Source organism: Homo sapiens, chromosome 3, assembly GCF_000001405.40.
Source record: "Homo sapiens chromosome 3, GRCh38.p14 Primary Assembly".
Lineage (NCBI taxonomy): Eukaryota > Metazoa > Chordata > Mammalia > Primates > Hominidae > Homo > Homo sapiens.
Window position 1 is genome coordinate 15,229,252 of NC_000003.12, and position 24,512 is coordinate 15,253,763.

Below are 24,512 nucleotides of genomic sequence, written 5' to 3' on the forward strand. Positions count from 1 at the left end.
TTAATATATATGAAATTAATGTGTTTTGAAATAAATGAAATTGATCAAAGTAAAATCATGTCATATTGATAATACTTTATGATTGGACTGTTAAGTGAGGTAGTCACTAGCCACATGTGGCTATAGACACTTGAAATGGATTAGTCTGAATTAAGAGGAGATGCACTGCAAGTGTAAAATGCATGAGATTTTGAAAACTTAGAACATAAAAAATGCAAAATTGCAAAATATCTCATTTTTGTGTTGATTATATGTTAAAATCATATTTCGATTTGTGATTAAAACATCAAAATTGGTTTTACTTTTTTTCTTTTTTTTTTTTTTTTTTTTTTTTTTTTGGAGACAAAGAATTTCGCTCTTGTTGCCCAGGCTGGAGTGCAATGGCGTGATCTCGGCTCACCACAACCTCTGCCTCCTGGGTTCAAGCGATTCTCCTGCCTCAGCCTCTGAAGTAGCTGGGATTACAGGCAGTTTTACCTTTTTAACTTTTAATGTGGTTACTGGGAAATATAACATATTTCTGTTGGCTTGAACTGCTTTAGAATGTATTAAAATGTTTCTGAAATACTTTTTCAGTTTTTAAAAGATACATTAGCTTAAAATCATTCATTGCAAAAACTAAGCATTATAATTTTTTCAACTTTTCCTGAGCGGTTTTTGTGTGTTAAGTCCTAAGAGTATAAAGATGAATTAGACGCAGTCCTTAGTTTCAACTATTTGCCATATAAGTGGTCCAAATGTATTTTAAAAGAAAATTGATACTGATAGTTGTTGAAGTATGTTACTGTATAATTTCATGCAACTATATGTCAAAGTTGTATCTACTTGCCTTAGTTGTGGTTAATTGGTCTTTACTTCTTAGGGCCAGTGGTAAAAGATTATTTTAACTGGCTTAAAATATATACACTTAATAGATGGTTTATTAGGGTATGTAAGTTAACATTGAGCACTTTTCAGAGTATTTTGAAATTTATGTCCACTTTGTGATCTCAGAAAATTACTTACTAATAGTAAATAAGCACTTTGATTAGGGTGTAGTTCATTTTCTAGGCCTATTGTAGGAAAATATTCTCCTGTTTGTTTTTATGAAATTGCCAAGACGGTAGTATATACCTGAATGAAATGTGCTGTATAGTAGTTGATATTGAATACTAATGTTGGTATTTTAATATTTATTTTTCTTACAAAAGCATAATTTACCCTCAAAACAAGGATGGTGAACCAGAATACAATCCATGTGGGAAGTATATGGTAAAACTTCACCTCAATGGTGTCCCAAGAAAGGTGAATAATGTCTCTCCCCACTCCCATCCCTTGTCTCTCTCCGTTCCCTACCTTTGAATCTTGAGTGAAATCATTAAGAAATGTCATCTGTTTGAACATTTTAAAAGTTAGAGTCTGTGATATTATATATTACTACCAGTAGCATCATGTGTTAATCATTAAAAATTAATTAAAACCATGGCAAGTATAAACTTGTTTTTTAAATGGTTTTGAGAAAATGTATACAGTTTCAAAAAGTAACGTTCAACTAAGGATTGCTAATGCTTAAAATAAATTTTCATCTGATAGTTCATCTGATTGTTTTGATTAAAAGGAAATCAGACAAACTAAATCTGTTAGGTCAGAAGAGTGTATATGTAGTCATAACTTAAGTGTAAGAAGCCTTTGAAATTATTTCCTTTTAAATATATATGCATAATTTTAATTCACACAAATTTCTTTAAGGAAAGACTCTGAACTCTGTTATAAGGGCCTTGCATTGTTAAGGTTCTCCACCACCTGTCCATGTTGAGATCCATGCAGCAACATCAGCATCACCTGGAAGTTTGTTAGTTTTGCAGAATTTCAGGCTTCACCCTAGACCTGCTGAATCAGAATCTGCGTTTCACCTAGATCCCCTGTGATCCAGCCTGAAAATCATTGCTCTGTAGTTCAGTAATACTCAAATTTTAGTATGCACAGAATCACCTGGCAGGTGATTATCTGTTATTAAAACACAGGTTTCTGGACCTCACGCCCAGAGTTTCTGATTCTGGAGGTCTGAGATGAGATCAAAATTTGCATTTCTAACAAGATTCCAGGTGATGCTGATGTTGTTGTCTAGAATACTCTCTGAGAGCCATTTTACCTGATTTACTTAAAAAGTAAAGAAAATTATTGAGAATAATTTTACTGAACTATAATTCTTGACCTCTTGTTTAAAGAATCTTTAAAGATGTATGGCATAATCTTCCTATTGGTGTTAAATCAAAATTCTTATCCTCATATCTCTGAGAACACTTTTTTTTTTTTTGAGATGGAGTCTCACTCTGTCACCCAGGCTGGAGTGCAATGGCACAATCTCGGCTCACTGCAACCTCCGCCTCCTGGGTGCAAGTGGGTCTCCTGCCTCAGCCTCCCGAGTAGCTGGGATTACAGGCACCCACCACCACGCCCGGCTAATTTTTGTATTTTTAGTGGAGACAGAGTTTCACCGTGTTAGCCAGGATGGTCTCGATCTCCTGACCTCATGATCCTCCCGCCTCGGCCTCCTAAAGTGCTGGGATTACAGGCGTGAGCCACCGCGCCCAGCCTCAGATCACTTTTTAATATGAATTAGATACTGTATCTGATGACTTCCTCTGTTATTTATATGTATTTTCTAGCCATAATGTTCTACTCTTACAACTATACATGAGTCTTTTTATAGGTTTAGAATAAAATGACAATAATACTGCATTTAAAAGTGAGGCCCTTTTGTAATTATTTTAAATGTACATTTCTAGAATAATATAGGTTGAGTATCCCTTATCCGAAATACTTGGGACCAGAAGTGTTTTGGATTTTGGATTTTAACAGATTTTTTAATATTTGCAGAATACCTACAAGTTGAACATCTCTAATCTGAAAATCCAAAACACTCCAGTAAGTATTTCCTTTGAGCATCATGTCAGTGATCAAGAAGTCTTGGATTTTGGAGCATTTCAAATTTTAGATTTTTTATTTCAGATGCTCAGCCTTTTAATTTCAGTGATAGTTACATGACATTTAATCAATTGATTGAAGGTTATCATCTGACAGATTAGCTTGTAAAATTGAATAAAGACATCATATTAAAAAGAACAACATTTTGTAATTGGTATGATTCTAGAAACATTACCTTAATAGCCGTCAGCATATTGTGCGTTATATTTTATCAGTATGAAAGGTATGTTTTTATTTCTTGATAGAAAGGATTTTAAGATATTTTGTGCACCTAAGAAGGTTAATGTTCTCTTTCTCCAGGTGATAATTGATGACCAGTTACCTGTTGATCACAAGGGAGAATTGCTCTGTTCTTATTCCAACAACAAAAGTGAATTATGGGTTTCTCTCATAGAAAAAGCATACATGAAAGTCATGGGAGGATATGATTTTCCAGGATCCAACTCCGTAAGTAATAGATAAGACGATCCAGACACAGATTTAAGCTATCTAATATAACTGTTTTAAATTTGAAAAATTCTAGATAGTCTTTTTGTTTATAGGGAAAGAGAGCAGATTATCAACCCCTGAAACAGGATGACCAGTCCCCGTATTATGGGGATATATATATTTTCTTGTGTATCCGGGAAAGCCTAAACTGTGTCTGCTTTTGTTGGGATACAAGGCCAATTATAAATACAGTGTACATTTCCAGAGCAGTCTGTTTAGATCAAATGGATGTGTCATATTGTCATGTATTTTTTTATTTGTAATTCAGGTTCAAGGAGTTACTTGTTTTATCCAGTCTTAACAGAACTTAACCTATAAGATTGAGGTGTCTTCCAGTGACCTTTTGTTGCATGAGGTAAACTAGACTTGAGCCAGAAAGAAATTAGTCAGATTGGCATGACTTTAAATTCTTACAATAACCAGCCTGTGGCCTTAGAAAATGTGTTTAACCTTTCTTAGCCTCTTCATGTATCCATAATATAAGGATAATATCCACCTCTTGTCTTAAAGTCGTAAAGATGAAAATTGCATCTTTATTCCAATAATAAAATGAAGTGACATATGCAAATCACCCATCATTCATAAGTGATTAGTTTCCCTGCCAAACCAGGTGTCCTTGACTTTTCCAGTTTTATGCCCAGTTCTAATGCTAGGCAAAGAATATATAGGTCATAATTAAATGCAATAGGATGTTACAGTTTTTCTTTTCCCAGCCTATACTTTCAATTGCTCTATCCTTCACATACTTTTAGTTTAGCTTTCTAATTGTTGCTTGTTAATTTACTCAGTGGAGTTTAGAGAGAGAAAGAATGGGAATGTATGTAAAACATGAGGAACATCATTGCAAGAACTCACTAAAGGACTTGTGACTGCATCGTTGAAGCAGTTTTTTCTGTTACATGTCTTTTTATCATATTCACCTGTAAAAAATAGTTTTTTATTCAGGAAAAGCAACAAAGATTGTAGGGAAAAATATGCATGTTCAAATTCAGTTAGGAATTTGAGTTAAATAAGAAATATATTACTAGTTGAAAACAACTACCTTCTGATTTATTTCTACCAAAATCATTATGCCAAATCAGTGAGATGTAATAGCTGCTCTGGGGATTTAAGAACTTGAAAATGACACTGGCAGTCCTGAAATGTGTTTCTGTTGCAGAATATTGATCTTCATGCACTGACTGGCTGGATACCAGAAAGAATTGCTATGCATTCAGATAGCCAAACTTTCAGTAAGGATAATTCTTTCAGAATGCTTTATCAAAGGTAAACATTTTTCTTTGTTTTATGTGTGTGGTAAATGTGGCCGTTTAAAAACATCATGCTGGCTGGGCGTGGTGGGTCATGCCTGTAATCCCAGCACTATGGGAGGCCAAGGCAGGCAGATGACCTGAGTTTGGGAGTTGGAGGACCAGCCTGACCAACATGGAGAAACCCCATCTCTACTAAAAATACAAAATTAGCCGGATGTGGTGGCAGGCACCTGTAATCCCAGCTACTCAGGAGGCTGAGGCAGGAGAATCGCTTGAACGCAGGAGGCAGAGGTTGTGGTGAGCCGAGATTGCACCATTGCACTCCAGCCTGGGCAACAAGAGCAAAACTCCATCTCAAAAATAAATAAATAAAAATTTAAAAAATAAAAACATCATGCCTGATTTAGAATAGAGATTGCAGAAGTTGTCGTTTTTAGTTATTAAGGAAATTGTTTTTAAAATAGACTTCACATTATGTACTTCCTATAGCCAGTCCTCAGTTATCTTCCCTTAATAGTTACAGTTAATCCAAATTGTAGATAATCCAAAATATTAGAATATGTAATATAGAAAAATTATTTTAGATTTACTAATTAGTTACCAAGTTGAGGGAAAGTGGGAAAAGAGAAGTCTGAGAAGTTAAGCCTTAAATGGATAATCCATATCCATTTAAGGGACTGGAAGTTTGTCTAAACAGTGATACACATTCGGTTGCAAAACTAGAAAGCTCAGTGATTTGATAAATAAAATGATATGCCTGTTTGGGAAATGCCTGTGGTATTTCACGTCTTTATTTTTATTTGTAAACCACTTGAAATTTAGCGTTTGTTTTCCTTCTTTGGTAGGTTTCTGGTTTAGAATTAAGTTGCCAGAAACTTAAAAAAAGAGAAATGTGATAATTTATTTTATATACTGTGCATTAGAAATGTACTTCTTTTTGAAAATTCTTCAGGGGTAGGAACAGCCCATTTTCATGTAAGCCATTAGACTAAAAGATAAAATGGTGTGATCTTAGATTACAAATGTGTTTTACTTTAATTAATTGTCTTTGGGGTTCATTCCAGATTTCACAAAGGAGATGTCCTCATCACTGCGTCAACTGGAATGATGACAGAAGCTGAAGGAGAGAAGTGGGGTCTGGTTCCCACACACGCATATGCTGTTTTGGATATTAGAGAGTTCAAGGTTTTGCCTTAAATCTTTTTCTTTTATTTTTCTTGTTGGATAAGACATTTCAGGGATCCCAGATAATTTATCAGACTTCTGAATACTGACAAATCAAGGTTTAAGTGGAGTTTATAAACCATTTCACCTACATTAACTTGATCTCTACCGTTGAAAATTATGAAATTAAAAGGTGGGAAAGGAAATCATAGGGATGGCACAGATACTGATGACAGAACAGAAATGCTGTTACACCTCTTTGTCTTTTCCATAAAACCAGCAGTTTTGAGGCGGAATACATAGCTTCCAAGATTCCAAGCTTCTTCTTCGTGTTTGGATCAATCACAGTGTTAAGCTCTAAAGCAGTGGTCGCCAACCTTTTTGGCATCAGGGATCCGTTTTGTGGAAGACAGTTTTTCCACAGACTGGGGGGTGGGTGGGAGCATGGTTTCAGGATAAAACTGTTTTACCTCAGATCATCAGGCATTAGATTCTCATAAGGGGAACACAGCTTAGATCTTTTGCATGCACAGTTCACAATAGGGTTCACACTCCTATGAGAATCTAATGCCACCACTGATCTGACAGGGGGCAGAGCTCAGGCTGTAATGCTCACTTGCCCACTGCTCACCTCCTGCTATGCGGCCCAGTTCCTAACAGGCCATGGACCAGTACCTGTCTGTGGCCCGGGGGTTGGGGACCCCTGCTCTAAAGCATAGTAGACACTGAATAAATACTTATGAAAGTGGGCCAGGCATGGTGGCTCACATTTATAATCCCGATACTTTGGGAAGCTGATGCAGAAGGATCTCTTGAGGCCAGGAGTTCGAGGCCAGGAGTTCAAAACCAGCCTGGGCAACATAGTAAGACCCCACCGCTACAAAAAATAAAAAAAAATTAGCTGGGCATGGTGCCATATATCTATAATTCCAGCTACTCAAGAGGCTGAGGTGGGAAGATTGCTTGAGCACAGAAGATCAAGGCTGCATTGAGCCATGATCACACCACTGTGCTTCAGCCTGAGTGATAGAGACCCTGTCTGAAAAAATAAAAAATTGTGAAAGGGGAAGAAAATAGGAAGATAGCTGGGCATAAGATACATGCCAGTGTGTTTTGTGTAAGCAAGTATTTTTCTTCCTAGAAGCCCTTGCATGCTGTCAGGCCTTTCAGACAGACCCTGTTTCTGCAATATCTGGTTAGAATATTTGACTTCATTACTTCTGAGGTTGTTGTTATTTTTAACTGAAAAATGGATTTGTTCTATGGATTCAAAAATAAAAAGATTATTAAACAAGTACTATTTCTTAATGAAGGACCCTTGATAACAGAACGAATAGAAGTAGTGATCAGTCAGCAATAACAGAGCACTACTGTGTGTTAATTAGACTGGTTTTCTTATGTGTGGCACATGGATTTACAGTCACGTGTTGCTTAATGATGAGTGTACATTCTAAGAAATGCATTGTTAGGTGATTTTGTTGTGGCATGAACATCATAAAATGTACTTACACAAACCTAGATGGTACAGCCTACTATACACCCAAGCTCTGTGGTATAGCCTAGTGCTCCTAGACTACAAACCTGTACAGCATGTTATTGTATTGAATACTGTAGGCAGTTATAACAACTTGGTATTTGTATATCTGAACATAGAAAAACACAGTAAAAATACAGTATAAAAGATTTTGTTAAATGGTACACCTGTATAGGGCACTTACATGGTTGGAGCTTGCAGGACTGGAAGTTGCTTTGGGTGAGTGAGTGAGTGGTGAGTGAATGGGAAAGCCTAGGACATTGCTGTACACTACTGTAGACTTTATGAATGCTAGACATGTAGACTTTATAAAAATATTTTTTTCTTCAATAATGAATTGTTCTAAGCCAGTCAAATCATCAGTGGTGGTTGTATACCAACTTTAGTGATATGTTATTAATAAGTTCTGATTAACCCATTACCATCGGAGCAGCCCAATAATAAATTAACCTTGGCTTACTGTAATTTTTTACTTTATAAACTTTAAATTTTTTTTAACTTTCTGGCTCTGTAATAACAACTAGCTGAAAACACAAACACATTGTAGAGCTGTACACAAGTACTTTACCTGAGCTTTTTTCTGTTAATTTTTTTTTAGGCTGTTTTCTTAAAATCCGAAACATAAACACACACATTAGCCTAGGCCCACATGGGGGCAGGATTATCAGGATGTCAATTGGCAATAGAACTTTTCCAGCTCCATTATAATCTTATGGAACCACTATGATATATGTAGTTCATCGCTGTCTTAACATTTCATTATATGGTGCATGACTGTATATGAAGTTAATGAGGACAGTAGGGACCTATTGCACCATTTTAAAATTTATAGTCTTGGAACTTTCTAAATTAGCTGGTCAGTGTTGAACCCCCCAGCCATGCTCTATAGAATTGCTTCTTTAAAAGTGGCATAAAAATTGCCCACTTAAAGCAAAAAATATAAAAATTATGTGAAATTAAGTACGCCAATAAGTTTGGGGTTTTTTAAAATTATAATTTGCCACAAATGCCAGTCAAAACATTTTAAGTGGCTGGGCACCGTGGGTCACCCCTATAATCCTAGCACTTTGGGAGGCTGAGGCAGGAGGAATGCTTGAGGCCACGAGTTCAAGACCAGCCTGAGCAACATAGCAAGACCCCATCTCTACAATAAATAATTTTTTAAAAAATTAGCTGGGCATGGTGGCACGTGCCTGTAGTCCCAGCTAATTGGGAGGCTGAGGTAGGAGGATCACTTGAGCCCAATGTTGCAGTGAGCTGAGATCACACCACTGCACTCCAGCCTAGTTGACACAGTGACACCCTGCCTCAAAAAATGTATATTTATATATAAAGGTTTTCTCCAGTACTCTTTTATTGGGTATATATTCAAGGAGTTTCCTAGGTGCATTATTTTTATTTTTTATTTTTTGCTACTTATATTTTGAAGTGTTTATTTAATTCTGACTTCTTTTTTTTTTTTTTTTTTTTTTTTTGAGACAGTCTCACTGTGTCGCCCAGGCTGGAGTGCAGTGGCGCGGTCTCAGCTCATTGCAAGCTCCGCCTCCCAGGTTCATGCCATTCTCCTGCCTCAGCCCCCCAAGTAGCTGAGACTACAGGCGCCCCACCACCACGCCCGGCCAATTTTTTATATTTTTAGTAGAGACAGGGTTTCTCCACGTTAGCCAGGATGGTCTCGATCTCCTGACCTCATGATCCACCCACCTTGGCCTCCCAAAGTGCTGGGATTACAGGCGTGAGCCCCCACGCCTGGCCAATTCTGACTTCTGTTTTAAAATATTTCCATATTTGATTCAAGCATTTATCTCTAGGACCTCTTTTTTGCAGAAAGACCTAATCTTAGACTCTGACAGCTCTGCTCAGTATTACATCATTGGTGACTTTCTTCACTTAAAGAGATTTTCAATATTTATTAATATTTGCATAAAAGTGCTATCATTTTTGTTTGACTACCTCTAATCTGCTTGCATATTCCAAGGTCTTCATTTTAGTCTCAGCGATTCTCTCTTTGGGTCATTTTTGTGTTTTTGAGGTGATGTTTCATAGTCTACTATGGAGTTACATCTCCAGATCAGGGTGCTGACTTCAGTTCAGACAGGTGTTATCATAGAATTTCTGAAGCTGTCCAAGGCTTTTCCTTTGCTGCTACTTGGAAATAACTTTAGAAATTGGATGCTTCAGCAAAATCAAATTTTTTTTTTTTTTTTTTTTTTTTGTTCTCTAGCATTCCTTCTTTTTAGAGCTGGTTCTCTACCCATCCAAACAAAATCTACATCCATATCTTGGTGTCCTTGAATATCACTGATGCTGGGGGTCTGTCTCTGAAAAGCTTAGCAACAATTTGCTCTCCTTTGTGCTCCTCTTTTAGGAAGTGTTGAGAGTCCTGAAATGAGTTAAATTTTTTGAAAAGAAAGGAATTAGAGTTAAATGTCGGTTGACTTATGTGTGGTGAGACACATACAGTGTAGAAGATACTGATGAAAGAAACTGTATTAATGAAGCTTCTAGGGAATATAGCCTAAGAGGAATGAGTCTTATGTCCAGAAATCACATACATCTACCCCCAGCCACAATTTGTCACCATTTAAAATAGCAAAGGAATGTGTTGTTGTGGTTGTTTAGATGTCTTCCAAACAGTTTGATTTATGATATCATTAGAAAAAGTACACAATTTCCTAAGGTGACTGCTTGCAGTAAGACAAATATTATTTTGGATTTACCACCTCTTTTATTTTCCCGAATCAATGTAATCAATTCTGTAGACATGCCTGGTATTTACTAAGCATTTACCTTTACATTCTGTTCCATAAATGAGTGGAAAATCTGAAAAGGGATGATAGTGTTACCATTTCAAGGAGTTGATGATTACATTGGGGAGACAAGATGACTACATTTGTAGGAAACAGTATAAGATAGGATACTATTTGTTTTAAACTAATGTAATACAGATTGCTAGCACTATGAAGGTTGGAGAATTCAAAGTAATTAAAAGAAAGAAATTACTAAATGCTAGATACTTTATGTTAATTCCATTTGATCTTCACAGCCATCTTCTAGGGACACATCATAATCTTCATTTTACATATGAGTAAATGAATGTTCAGAGAGGGTAAATGACCCACCCAAAGAACTGGAATTTGGTCCCATTTTATTCTGACCCCAAAGTCCATGTTCCTTTCTCTTTTCTTCACTATGTCTGTCTGCACTGAGAAGAAAGGGTAGCTAAAGGGATCAAAGAGGGCCTTTCAGAAAAAGGGAACAGCATGATCAATTGCCTTTAGAGGCAAAATTGAATAAGGATTTTATTGCACTCTGAAAGGAAAAACTAGATTAGAGCCAAAGGTACATGGAGTATAAATACTGGAAAATAAAGTGGAGCCAGAGTAGAGTGAGCTTTGAAAAGGCAGAAAATACTTCATGCTCTAAGGCAGTACTGTCTAATAGAACTCCTGCAATGATGGAAATGTTCTGTATCTGGGCTGCCCAATGCATTAGCCACTATAGCTACTAGCTACCTGTGGTCATTTAACATTTGAAATGTGGCTGCTGTGACTAAGGAACTGATTTTTGAATTTTATATAATTTTAACTTAACTACATGCGGTGAAAGACTGCACTATTAGCTCTAGGGAGTAGGCAGCCATTTACAGTTTTTGATCGATGTATGACCTGGTGAAAGTGTTAAAAATATTAATTTCAAGTTGATTTGAGGGGAAAAGAATTGATAAGTACTCAGTTCATCCTCTAATAAGAGAACTAATATGGTAAAAACTGTTTTACAACTTAATGTTATCTCCTGTTTCTTTTTTATATAGGGGCTGCGATTTATCCAGTTGAAAAATCCTTGGAGTCATTTACGTTGGAAAGGAAGATACAGTGAAAATGATGTAAAAAACTGGACTCCAGAGTTGCAAAAGTATTTAAACTTTGATCCCCGAACAGCTCAGAAAATAGACAACGGTAAATATATCTTTTTAATTTTAATACCATTTATTCTTCAAAAAAAAACATGTTTTAACAAGACAAAACATGTGTAACTGACTTAAATCATTTAGCATTAAGATTTTTTTAGATTAACAAAGATATTAATTTTCAGGAATATTTTGGATTTCCTGGGATGATCTCTGCCAGTATTATGATGTGATTTATTTGAGTTGGAATCCAGGTCTTTTTAAAGAATCAACATGTATTCACAGGTAACTTTTTGCACATTGCAGAGTATGCTTTATAATAGCATCCACTTTCCTCACTTAAAAACATAATGGTGCCAGGCGCAGTGGCTCATGCCTGTAATCCCAGCACTTTGGGAGGCCGAGGTGGGTGGATCAGTTGACCTCAGGAGTTCTAGACCAGGTTGGGCAACATGGCAAAACCTTGTCTCTACAAAAAATACAAAAGTTAGCCAGGCATTGTGGCGCACACTTGTAGTCCCAGCTACTCGGGAGGCTGAGGTCAGCAGATCGCTCAAGCCTGGGAGGTGGAGGTTGCAGTGAGCCAAGATCATGCCACTGCACTCCAGCCCGGACAACAGAGCAAGACTCTGTCTCAAAAAAATAAATAAATAACGGAATGGTTAATTTAGGAAGACTAGCATTCCATCTTTTTGTCACGCCCACAGTGACTATCTTGTTAATAGTTGTTTTCTTTCCATGCTTCCTAGTTATGCCAAAAAAATTTAAAAACAGTAAAACAAAACCAAAAACTTGGATAGCTTAATTCACTTTTTGAAATAGTGTTATATTTTAGCTCTATGAGAAATTTAATTACAACCTTCTTTGTTGACTTTATCTTTTAGTACTTGGGATGCTAAGCAAGGACCTGTGAAAGATGCCTATAGCCTGGCCAACAACCCCCAGTACAAACTGGAGGTGCAGTGTCCACAGGGGGGTGCTGCAGTTTGGGTTTTGCTTAGTAGACACATAACAGACAAGGTACTGATACCCTTCTAATGATATCCCATACAGAAATTTTTTTAATATAGTTAGAACATTGTGAAAGACATACGTAAACACCAGCCTGTTTAATTTACATAGGTGCCCTGAGAATAGTGTTTTCTCAGATAAATGAATATTTTCCTCTAAGGAAATTTGTATTTTATAATTATACACTTAAAATCTTGTTCAAAAGTCATCTCTGAAGAAAAGTATGAGGGAGTTTGTGCTTTTCAGTGAGGGTTTGGGGGTTGATCGTGTATAGTTTAGATCTTAATATTAACATTGAAATATGCTGAAGGGAATTTGGAAATGTTGAATCATTAGTCTTGATTCTGTAAAGGTTAACCATAATCTTAATAGCCTCCGAATCTTAATATACATTCATACATTGTGGTCATCTATTAAAATGACAATTTAATTCAGAAAAACAATGTTTCTTATAGCACTAAATAGCTGAAAACAATGCTCTTAAAATTAGAGATTTTTTGTGGAGAGATTTAGAGCATTTTTTTGGAGAGATTTAAAAAGAAAATAAATAGCATTTTGAACCCATTTTCTAACCACATTGGATTCTTTGTGATTTTAGGATGATTTTGCGAATAATCGAGAATTTATCACAATGGTTGTATACAAGACTGATGGGAAAAAAGTTTATTACCCAGGTATGTTTAGTAGCCCAGCAAACATTAAAATAAACATACATAAGATTTTATTTATATGATTAAGTTGAAAAATGACACATTTTATGTAGATAATATAGAGAAATAATTATGTTGATAGACTAATAGAAACCACTCAAGCAGATGGGTATTCATGCTGTTCTGTGTTTTGTTTTGATTTGTTTTAATTTGGAGACTCCAAGGGGGGATTTCCATATTCTCGCACATGGCTGTCAGAATTTTATTTCTGAAACTTAAATGATGTCTTTTACTCTAATCAAATGTATTCTGTGGTTTTCCTTGAACTTCTGGATAAAATCTAAGCTCTTTAGCATGATATATAAGGCTTTTTATTCCCACCTTAATCTACCTGCCCCCCTTTATTTCATGCCCCAGCTTCTCACAGTTGACATAGTTGCTACTCCAGAATACACCATGCCCTTGTTGCCTTCTTTCACATGGTTTCTTCTCTCAAGAATCTCTCCTCCTGCCTTATTCCTTTCTCCCTATTCTGCTTAATGCACATAGTTAAGGTCCAGCCTAAATACCATTCCTTCCACTGGGCACCTGAGATATTTAACACATTGTGTTGAAACCACTTTGCTTTCACATTTTTAAAAAATGTGTATCACTTAGTGAGAGAAACTATCTTAAGGCTCTGGAGAATAGTGATGAACAAAACAGGATTCTGCTTTCATAGAGTTTATGTTCTAGTTGGGGAGACAGTTAATAAGCAAAATATCAAGTACTGATACACGTGTAAAAAAAAGGGTTATGTGTGAGTGACTGGTTGCTTTTGGTGGGTGGTCATAGAAGACCTCTTTGAGCAGGGATGAGAAGAGCTATGAATAACAAAAAGGAACCAGTCATGCAAAGAAATCAAGGGAAAAGCATTACAGGCAGAGGGAACAGCAAGTACAAGGACCTTACAGTGAGAAAAGATGGTGTATTTTTGGGACAGAGAACAGGCCAATTGCCTGGGTAGGTGTGGTATCAAAAGAGGTCAGAAAGATTTGCAGAGGTCAGATCACATGAGGTTCTGTACACCACAGGAAGGGTTCGGAGAGTCTTTGGCTTGTCATAATCAGGAAAATGACATGTCCTGGCTCCAAATGAAGATGCAGCTAGGCTGTTGGATTTTTGAATAGAGTTCTGGGGTAAGGGTAGAGATACAGATAGGGGAGTCAGGAGCATATAGATGGAGTTTGAAGATAGGACTGCATAAATCACCTGTGAAGAGAGTTGTGGGTACAGAGATTAACACCCAGGATCTGACCCTTGGACTCTCAGACACCTTGAGGTTCAGCAGAGGAAAAAGGTACCACAAAAGAATTTGAACAGAGGGCCTGATGAAACAGTGAGGTTTCACATAACCCAAGCAAAGAACATTTTTCAAGAGAAAAAGAAAGGACAGTTCCATCTATTGATGTTTGAGAAATCAAATGAGATTAGGTGAGAGAAGAAACTATTGTGGGAACTAAATGATAAGAACTTACGAACACAAAGAAGGAAACAACACATACTGAGGTCTACTTGAAGTGGGGGGAGGGTGGGAGGAGGGAGAGGAATAGAAAAGATAACTATTGGGTCCTGGCTTAATACGTGGGTGATGAAATAATATGCACAACAAACCCCCATGACACGTATTTACTTTTGTAACAAACATTCACATGTACCCCCAAACCTAAAATAAAAATTAAAGGGAAGAAACTATTGGACTTAGCATCGTGGCAGTCAGTCATTGTTGACCTTGATAAGAACAGGCATAGTGGAGAGGTGGGGCTAGAAGCCCAGTTGGATTGGTTTTAAAAGAGACTATGATGTAAGGAAGCAACTGTTGACAGTTCTTGCAAGAAAGCTGTGCAAAGAAATGGGCAGTGATGGGAAGATGTGATCAGAAGTGGTTTAAGTCTTACTTTGTTTAATCATAGGGAAGTATGGCATTCTTCCCTATTACAATGTGTTGATGGCAGGCACTGAGTCTTGCTAGTCAATATCCCTGCGTTCTGGAATGGGCATGGCACATAGTAGGTCCAGTGACAAATATCGAGTTAAACTAGCCAAGCTTTCCTTTTTTTAAAACAATGCTCCATCTTATGTATAGTGATTTTGCCTTTTCAGAATACTTTCATGTTTATAATTTTATTTTAATTACAACACTCTGCAGTAAATAGGACAGGCCTTGTTCCCTGTTTGACAGAAGAGTAAACTGAAACATGGAAAGGTTAAAAACCTTGTTCAAGATCCACAGATATGCCAATTCTTTACTCTTCTCACTAGACCACACCACCCCTAATCATTAGAGACTTATGATTTGTTTGAGATACCAAAATACTTAGTTTTTCTGATAGGTCCCATTATAAATATTCAGCGTTCCTAAATAAGCTAAGTGAGACCATCGATCTTAACATATAGTAATTGTCATGCATAAAATTTTATTGTATCAGGCTTGACTGATGGGACTATCAAATAATATATTAGGCAGCATTCTTTGTAATAACAAAATATTGAAAATAATCTGAATATCCAGATTTTCTAAATAAGCAATTGGGGGTGTAGATAAAATGTCATATTTGTATGATGGAATATTATACAGGCAGTTATAAGAAATAAACTTATCTGTATAGAACAACATAGCTCTTTTTAAAATGTTGAGTGAAAAATGAAAGATATAAGACATGCACTATTTTTTTTAATATATACACTTATACCAGAAACAGTTATTTTTTTCATTCATTTTTAGGAGTGGGTACGTTTGTATTCAAGTCTAAAAAGATGCTGACTAAATCCATCAATAGAAGGGAATAAGATAAGTGTAGTGGTTAAAAGAGACATTGTTTTATGAAAAGGCTAGAATGACCAAAAAAAAAAAAAAGTTAATTTAAACCTGAGTGGTGGGGAATATATATTTTTATATACTTCTTTTTATTTTTTTAAATTTCATCTCAAAAAAAAAACTAATCCTGACTTTAAGATCCTCTACGGGAGAAAAATGCAACACAGAACAAATAGTAGGAATTACTGAAATGCAACACAGAGCAAATAGCAAGTACTATTATACTTCATTGAAAGTATTCAAAAAGATTATTTTTGTTTATTAGGAACTGTTTAATTTTAAAGTTTTCAACTGAAATTATAATTCACTAATATCATTATATTTTAAGGAGAGAATCAGTTAAGGAGATGTCCATCCAAGTAATTATTTTTCCTACATCAACCATAAAATTAAAGAAAGAAAAGTCTCCTTTTCTCTAAGCCTACTTGTTTGTTTGCAGCTGACCCACCTCCATACATTGATGGAATTCGAATTAACAGCCCTCATTATTTGACTAAGATAAAGCTGACCACACCTGGCACCCATACCTTTACATTAGTGGTTTCTCAATATGAAAAACAGAACACAATCCATTACACGGTTCGGGTAAGTAAAACCAACACACAATGACAAAACACAGTAATATAAAGTATGTAATATGCTCTGCTTTGTAAGTGGTATTATCTGGAGAAAAAGTTTATTTCTGAAAATGTATTGCTCTCTTTTTTTGTGCTTATCATTTTAATAGTAAATTATACTTTCTGTAGAAAATAATACATTTGAAAAGAAATGTCTTTATTTTGAAAGAGCATTTTTATTTTCATAGTAATAGTTTAGCCCCGTGGTAATATAGTATGTTGGACTAATAATACATTTCTTTTTTTCTTTTTGAGACAGAGTCTTGCTCTGTCACCCAGGCTGGAGTGAGTGCATTAGTGCAATCTCGGCTCACTGCAGCCTCCACTTCCCGGGCTCAAGTAATTCTGCCTCAGCCTCCTGGGTAGCTGGGACTACAGGTGCTGCCACCATGCCCAGCTAATTTTTGTATTTTTTGTAGAGATGGGGTATCACCATGTTGGCCAGGCTGGTCTCAAACTCCTAACCTCAAGTGATTCACCCACCTCAGCCTCCCAAAGTGCTGGGATTACTGGTGTCAGCCACTGCACCCAGCCAATATATTTCATTTTAAAGCAAGCAATAAAAACTTATTTCGCTGTTTAATATTTTTATTGACTTTAAAAAGACTTTGAACTTAGTGAAAGAGAATCAGTCACCTAGAAATGTACTGCTCTCATCTAGCTGGGAAGGTCATTGTAATTTTCTTCTATATAGATTTGTTTGCTCTAGATAAGCGGCTCAATTTGAATAGATTTTTAGTGATGAAAGGGACATTGGGAGCTGCTGCCACCCATTCCTTTTTCAGATGCAGAAGCCACAGCCTGGAAAAATTGTGATTTGTCCTGAGGCATACAGTTACTAGCAGAGAAAGCCAAGACCAGACCCCTAGCTTCTCAGTTCCCAGCTCATTAAACCTGACCTGATACTAGGCTGCCTATAATGACTTGTGTATGCCAACTGATTTTTTTAGTCTTCCAATATATTCATGTATCACTTTGATGTTCTTGTAAGTGTAAAATTTATCAATACAGTCTTTTTTTAAATCTAGGTATATTCAGCATGCAGCTTTACTTTTTCAAAGATTCCTTCACCATACACCTTATCAAAACGGGTGAGAAAATTCATTTGGTTGTAATCTCAGCATTCTTTTAGAATTTTTAAATTCCCTTTCCCATTTCTCTCATTTTATTGTTTATATTTAGCAAAGGCTTCACAGGAATATAAGGGAAACGTAAATGGCCTCAATTTGGGTTGGAATACAAGATCTTCAGTGAGCAACATCTGTGAAAAGAAAATTCAGAGAAAGAAGATGAATGCAAACTTTGGTTGTTAGAGAAGGCAATGTGGATGAACCTTAAAAGTAGCATTTGAGACTAACTGCAGGGTGGGCTACATGTATAGAGGAAGATTCTATGGAAAATTCCTGGTAGAAAGAACAACTTGATTAGAGGCTAAGAGATGGAAATAGGGGTTAGTGGAGCAAAGCAGCCTGGCTGTCAGCAGCAAATAAAGATGGGAGAGAGGGGTTGGAGACACAGAGTGGAAAATTGCCTTTTTTTTTTTTTTGAGATGGAAAGGAGTTTTGTCTTTAAGTGGAATTGGAAATGAAATTTTGTTAATACTAAAACTTTTGTTTTTATTAGATTAATGGAAAGTGGAGTGGTCAGAGTGCTGGAGGATGTGGAAATTTCCAAGAGACTCACAAAAATAACCCCATCTACCAATTCCATATAGAAAAGACTGGGCCGTTACTGATTGAGCTACGAGGACCAAGGTTTGTGATGAGTAACTTTCTTAAATTAATGATGTTCTATTACAAATGAACATAGTATAACAAAAAAGTTTAGAAACAGACCTAAGCATATATGGACATTGGATTTATAACAATGGCATTATAGTGGAGTGAGGAAAGGACAATCTTTTCAATAAATGGTATGGAATAATTGAGTATCCATGTGTAAAAAGGGTAATTAGAACCCTGTTTCACATCAAATTCCAGGTGGATTACAAACCTAAATGTGAAAGGCAAAACAATACAGCTTCTAGATGATAATGCAGGAAATGTTTTAACCTCAAGAGAGGAAAGATTTCTTAAGACAAAGAGCATATTAAAATGTTTGTAAATATGCTGCATTGATAAGAAAAAAATCTGCAGTTTTTAAAAAATAAAAACACATTCATGTCCTTTGTAGGGACATGGATGAAATTGGAAATCATCATTCTCAGTAAACTATCGCAAGAACAAAAAACCAAACACCACATATTCTCACTCATAGGTGGGAATTGAACAATGAGATCACATGGACACAGGAAGGGGAATATCACACTCTGGGGACTGTTGTGGGGTGAGGGGAGGGGAGAGGGATAGCACTGGGAGATATACCTAATGCTAGATGACGAGTTAGTGGGTGCAGCGCACCAGCATGGCACATGTATACATATGTAACTAACCTGCACAATGTGCACATGTACCCTAAAACTTAAAGTATAATAAAAAAATAAATAAATAAATAAAAATAAAAAAATAAAAACACATTATAAAGGGGGCAATCCAGATGGCCAGTAAACCATTGTAATAGCCAGAAATTGGAAACATATATTCATTGACAACATTTAAGATTATAATATAGTCATATAATAGTCCTGATATAACAATGGAAATAAATTACAGCTACACACAACATAATGGATAAGTCTTAAAAAGCCACATGTACAGAATACATACCATGTGATTCTACTTCTGTGAAGTCAAGAACAGACAAAACTGAAATACTCATGTAAGGATGCACACTAAGGTAGTAAAACTATAAAGCAGAGCAAGAGAGTTATTACTATAAAAGCTCTGTCGAGGGACAGGAGTTGCAATTAGGAATATACAGGGAATTCTGTGGTGCTGAGAGGATTTGTTGATCTGGGTGATGGTTACCCAGGTGTTTATTCACTTTGCAAATGATTAAGTTGTATATATGTTTTACTTAAGTGTTATATTTCATAGTTTTAAAAGGTTTAAAAAATATAGAGAATACAGCCTGGGCATGGTGGCTAACACCTGTAATCCCAGCACTTTGGAAGGCCAAGACAGGAGGATCGAGTTCAGGAGTTCAAGACCCGCCTGAGCAACATGGCAAAACCTCATCTCTGCAAAAATTTTTTTAAAAATTTAGCCAGGCATGGTGGCATGTGCTTTGTATAGTCCCAGCCACTTGGGAGGCTGAGGTGGGAGGATGACTTGAGCCCGGGAGGCAGAGGTTGCAGTGATCCCAGATGATGCCACTGCACTCCAGCCTGGTTGACAGAGCGAGACCCTGTCTCATACAACAACCAAAAAAAAAAAAAAAAAACAAAAACAGAATACAAATAAAAACAGAACTACCTTCTAAATAAGATTGGGCTTAATTTTGCTTTTCTTACAAACTAATCCAGCAGCAGCAGTTAATAACCCATTAGATACGAAGATTTGATTAAACTATTTTTCCACAAGAAAGTCATTTTTAAAACCTCTACCAGTTTGATAGGTGAAATAGGTAAATAAACCTATTTGCTCTTTTGTACTTAATTTCTAGATAGATTGAACATGTAATAATGTTCATTACAATATTGTTTATTCCCTATTCATGTTTCTTGCCCATAGAGTTGTCATTTTTTTTAATTATAAGCATGAAAAAGGTAAGGGTATTAACTCCTTCACATATTTGTGGATATTTTTCTCAGATTGTCATTTTTCTCCCACATAGAAAAACATTTCATTTTAAAATAATGAATCTGTCTTCTGGTTTCATTTTGCTGTGGACAGGAACTCTCACCACATTACCAAATTAATTTTCACCATATTCTGATTATTTTATGGTTCAATTTTTTGCATTTAAAAAATTCATATGAATATATTTTTATATTTGGTATGAAATACAATTTAAGAGTTTTTTTCTAAATTTTTTGTTACCTCATCACCATCTAAATGAATCTTTCCTTACTGATTTGGAATGCCACGTTTATAATATGCTAAGTACTTCTGTAAATTCAGAGTTTGTTTCAGGGCTTTCTTTCCTGTCCCATAGGCCTTTCCATTTGTTACAATAACAATTTTTTTTTTCTTTTTTTTTTGAGACAGAGTCTTGCTCTGTCACCAGGCTGGAGTGCAGTGTGTGATCTCGGCTCACTGCAACCTCCGCCTCCTGGGTTCAAGCGATTCTCCTGCCTCAGCCTCCCAAGTAGCTGAGGCTACAGGTGCACACCACCATGCGCAGCTAATTTTTGTATTTTTGGTAGAGACGGGATTTCAACATGTTGGCCAGGATGCTCTTGATCTCTTGACCTTGTGATCCACCCACCTCTGCCTCCCAAAGTGCTGGGATTACAGGCGTGAGCCACCGCGCCTGGCCAATGACAATATTTTTAATTATACCCTGTGGCCAGGCGTGGTGGCTCAAGGCTGTAATCCCAGCACTTTGGGAGGCCAATGTAGGAGGATAGCTTGAGCCCAGAAGTTCCAGACCAGCCTGGGCAGCATAGTGAGACCCCCTGTCCATAAAAAAAAATTTAAGAAATTAGACAGATATGGTGGTACATACCCATAGTCCCAGGTCCTGAGGAGGCTAAGGTGGGAGAATCCCGAGTCCAGGAGGGCAAGGCTGCAGTGAGCCATGATTGCTCCACTGTACTCCAGCCTGGGTGACAGTGAGACCCTGTCTCAAAAATAAAAAAGAGGTCGGGCGCAGTGGCTCACACCTGTAATCCCAGCACTTTGGAAGGCCGAGGCTGGCAGATCACCTGAGGTCAAGAGTTCGAGACCAGCCTCTCCAACATGATGAAACCCCGTCACTACTAAAAATACAAAAAAATTTAGCCAGGCACAGTGGCATACCCCTGTAGTCCCAACTATTCAGAAGGCTGAGGCAGGATAATCACTTGAACCCAGGAGGCGGAGGTTGCAGTGAGCCAAGATCGTGCCTCTGCACTCTAACCTGGGCAGCAGAGTGAGACTCTGTCTCAAAAAAAATAAAATATTTCCCGGGGAGCCCATGGTAAAAATACAGTCTCTCTTAAAGTAAGTTTAATCTGGTGTTAATCTTTAAGGCTTCAACTGAAAAATATAAATGGTGTGTTATGATCAAAAATAGAGTGTGTATGTTTCTACTGAAACTTCAGAAACATAAACTTAGTATGACATCTGCACTTCAGATAAAGTTATTTTAAATCACGTTTGAGAATATATATTAATACAGTAATTCTGTTCATTTTAAATGCTAGGCAATATAGCGTTGGATTTGAGGTTGTAACAGTTTCTACTCTAGGAGATCCTGGTCCCCATGGCTTTCTGAGGAAATCTAGTGGTGACTATAGGTAATGTTGGCATTTTTATTGTATCTATTTTATACTTTACTTTTTGTGGCATCATCTTCTATAAACCTTATTCTCATTTTCTCTAAATATAGGTGTGGGTTTTGCTACCTGGAATTAGAAAATATACCTTCTGGGATCTTCAATATCATTCCTAGTACCTTTTTGCCTAAACAAGAAGGACCTTTTTTCTTGGACTTTAATAGTATTATCCCCATCAAGATCACACAACTTCAGTGATGGAGAAATCTCAAGTTACTGGCTTTTATACTTACCAAACATCAGTTCTTCAAATAAGGACGCAAATCTTCAGGACAGTAAGCAGAACAATCAGAATGGAATTAAATCTCTAAAAACGTGTTACAGTGGAATCTGGTGCTTGTCAGGGTGTTTGGTAAGAACTGTATATAGTCAGAATTACCTAAATCACCTAGAGGTACCGTTTACATGGTTTTGTGTATATAGAGTTGGCTTGCATTTTAGGGGCCATTTTGTATAAAAAGTGCATATGATTAAAATTAGACTCAGTCATCACTGTGAGATGCCTTTGCTAAGAGGATAAAGGAACTGAGACCAGATGAGAAAAAGAAAGGATATAGATTCCTTGAGTGGAATAGTGGGCTAGATTAATATACCGAAATATTTCCATTGTTTCCCTTTTTTGCAGAGCATGTGGAAGTTAAACCTGCTTGATTCTACTATACATCTTGGGCAACTAGTTACCAAATGAATTGTGCCACCATAACTGATTTTAATTTTGCATTATTTATGATTTTAAAATATTTGTTGCCCAGGTGTTATGAAAGAATAAAGCTTTTAAGTATAGACTACCTTAGCATGAAGATGCTCATGCCTAAGAATGAAAATTGTTGAGGTTATCTCCCATTCAATCATGTAGCAAGAACTTAAAGAAATTCACTACTGCAGTTTTTATTTTTAAAAAACAGTAATTGAGATATTGAAGACATTACAATTTAGTTTGTGTGGTCTTTTTTTAAATTGCTGTATCGTTCAGTCTCTTGTGGCAATAGCACTTTGAAGAAAATAGAGAATTTAATATATGGTGATTGGGATATGTAGCATTCAAAAAAAGTGAATTGCCAAGATACTGGTGTCATGTAAATTCCCACTTTACATAAAAACCCATCAGGACAGAATGATGCTCAATATTTTAAAATTCTAAAAATAGGGTGGGATTTTTCATTGTCTCTACTTTATAATTATCAAAACTTATTTTGTATTGCTACTACCTTAAATTGAAATAAAATGTTTATACTTACGGATATTGCATAGTTTAAGTTAGATTTATTGAAAGATTTCATCTGTCGTGTTTCATGTAAATGAGAACAGATTATTTGCATGAAAATATATACTTCAACAAAAATCTGTTCTTTAACAGAGTAGTGGTAGATTATTACACTAATGAGATTTCACTTTGGTAAATACTTCATGCTTTCAGTTTTAGCCTATTAATTTTAGGTGGACAAATTTAACAAGTTTTCTGTTACTTTTTAAAAAGAAAAAATCCAGAACATAAGAACTATATTATGAACACATGATTTGAACCTGTTGTGGTAAAGATCTTGTACAGGATGCAAACTAAAAACCTAATCCCTGCCATCAAATTTATTAGAAGAGACCTATATATGAACAACTTAAAGGCACTGATTTCTATAATAGAGCTCTAAAAACATGCCACCAGTGTATGAATAAGGGAAAGATTAATTTTGGCTGGACCAATATAAAAAATTGTATTTGAAGAATTGATACTTTAACTTGGACCTTGAAGGTAAAGCTTCAAAAGACAGGTTACTGACCATTGAGTGTTTACTATGTACCCAATGTGTATATTTTTCTTTTTAATCTTCCCAATAGCTGAATAAAGTATAGATACTATTATTTGTACTTCTTACAATTGAGGAAATAAGCCTAAGAGATTAAAAGATTTTGCCCAGGGTTCACAAGCCTTCTTCCCTGAGCCCTGATTGAGCTGCTGTGTGTGTCTAATGGCACCCACAGTCACGGCCGTCTAGTCGAGGGAGGGACAAGATCTAGACCCATTGTAGAGGGAGGAAAAACAATCCAGGCCTTTTGGAGGTTCTAAATAACAGACAGACCAGTTGAATTGTTAGAGAGGATGACTCAAGTTTCTAATTCAGCACATGGACAGATGCTCATAGCTTCAGTGAAAGGTAAGTTTTGACACATTAAATTGCCCAGAAAATCCAGATCTGGAATCAACGTGGTATAGTAAGTGAGATCACCCAAAAAGTCAAGAGTCACGTGAACTAAAGATGGTTAAGAACTGATTTGGGGGAAGTTTTTTAGAAAGTATTTCTAATTTAGAAAAAAATACATAGACTAACAGGAGATACAAGAAAACGAGGGTTGGGGGAGGATTAAGAAGCCCAGTGAACAGAATTCCCAGAAGAGTATAATTAAATGTCAGATGTGGTGGAGATAAAGAGGCCACAGTGACAGCAGTAGGGGCAGACTACGTAAAACTAGAAATTTGACTAGGTGATAGTGTGAGAAGGGAGCCCTGGTCAAAAGGTGGTCTGCATCCTTTTCTGGTGTAGGAGACAAGCAAGTGGTAGGCTGATGGGAAAGGGGGATTGAGGCAGGAAACAAGAGAAATTCTTAATGCCCATAAGGAATACTCTAGTGCTACTGACTGACTGCCTAGGCTTTGTCTTTTGTAAAGACAAGGGAAAGAAAGCCCCAGTGTTAGAAAACTCCTTCC

At 36.4% G+C, this 24,512-nt stretch overlaps 1 protein-coding gene across 17 annotated transcripts in view; it reads left to right on the plus strand.

Moving 5' to 3' along the window:
* Nucleotides 1-23,665, plus strand: part of CAPN7 (calpain 7) — a 46,671-nt gene extending 23,006 nt beyond the window's left edge. For 3 of the 17 annotated variants that reach the window (NM_001376086.1, NM_014296.3, NM_001376087.1), the window contains 13 exons: nt 1,191-1,284; nt 3,268-3,414; nt 4,616-4,722; nt 5,774-5,894; nt 11,222-11,366; nt 11,503-11,602; nt 12,202-12,337; nt 12,927-13,002; nt 16,275-16,420; nt 17,481-17,543; nt 18,076-18,206; nt 21,680-21,772; nt 21,865-23,665. In NM_001376086.1, coding sequence (NP_001363015.1) covers nt 1,191-1,284; nt 3,268-3,414; nt 4,616-4,722; nt 5,774-5,894; nt 11,222-11,366; nt 11,503-11,602; nt 12,202-12,337; nt 12,927-13,002; nt 16,275-16,420; nt 17,481-17,543; nt 18,076-18,206; nt 21,680-21,772; nt 21,865-22,009 — 1,504 coding nt within the window. In that variant the 3' untranslated portion in view covers nt 22,010-23,665. Of the gene's footprint in view, nt 1-1,190; nt 1,285-2,859; nt 2,908-3,267; nt 3,415-4,615; nt 4,723-5,773; nt 5,895-11,221; nt 11,367-11,502; nt 11,603-12,201; nt 12,338-12,926; nt 13,003-16,274; nt 16,424-17,480; nt 17,544-18,075; nt 18,207-21,679; nt 21,773-21,864 lie in introns of those variants that run through there. The other 14 variants (NR_164767.1, NR_164762.1, NR_164766.1 and 11 more) reach the window with 9 other exon arrangements.
* Nucleotides 23,666-24,512: the final 847 nt, after the last annotated feature.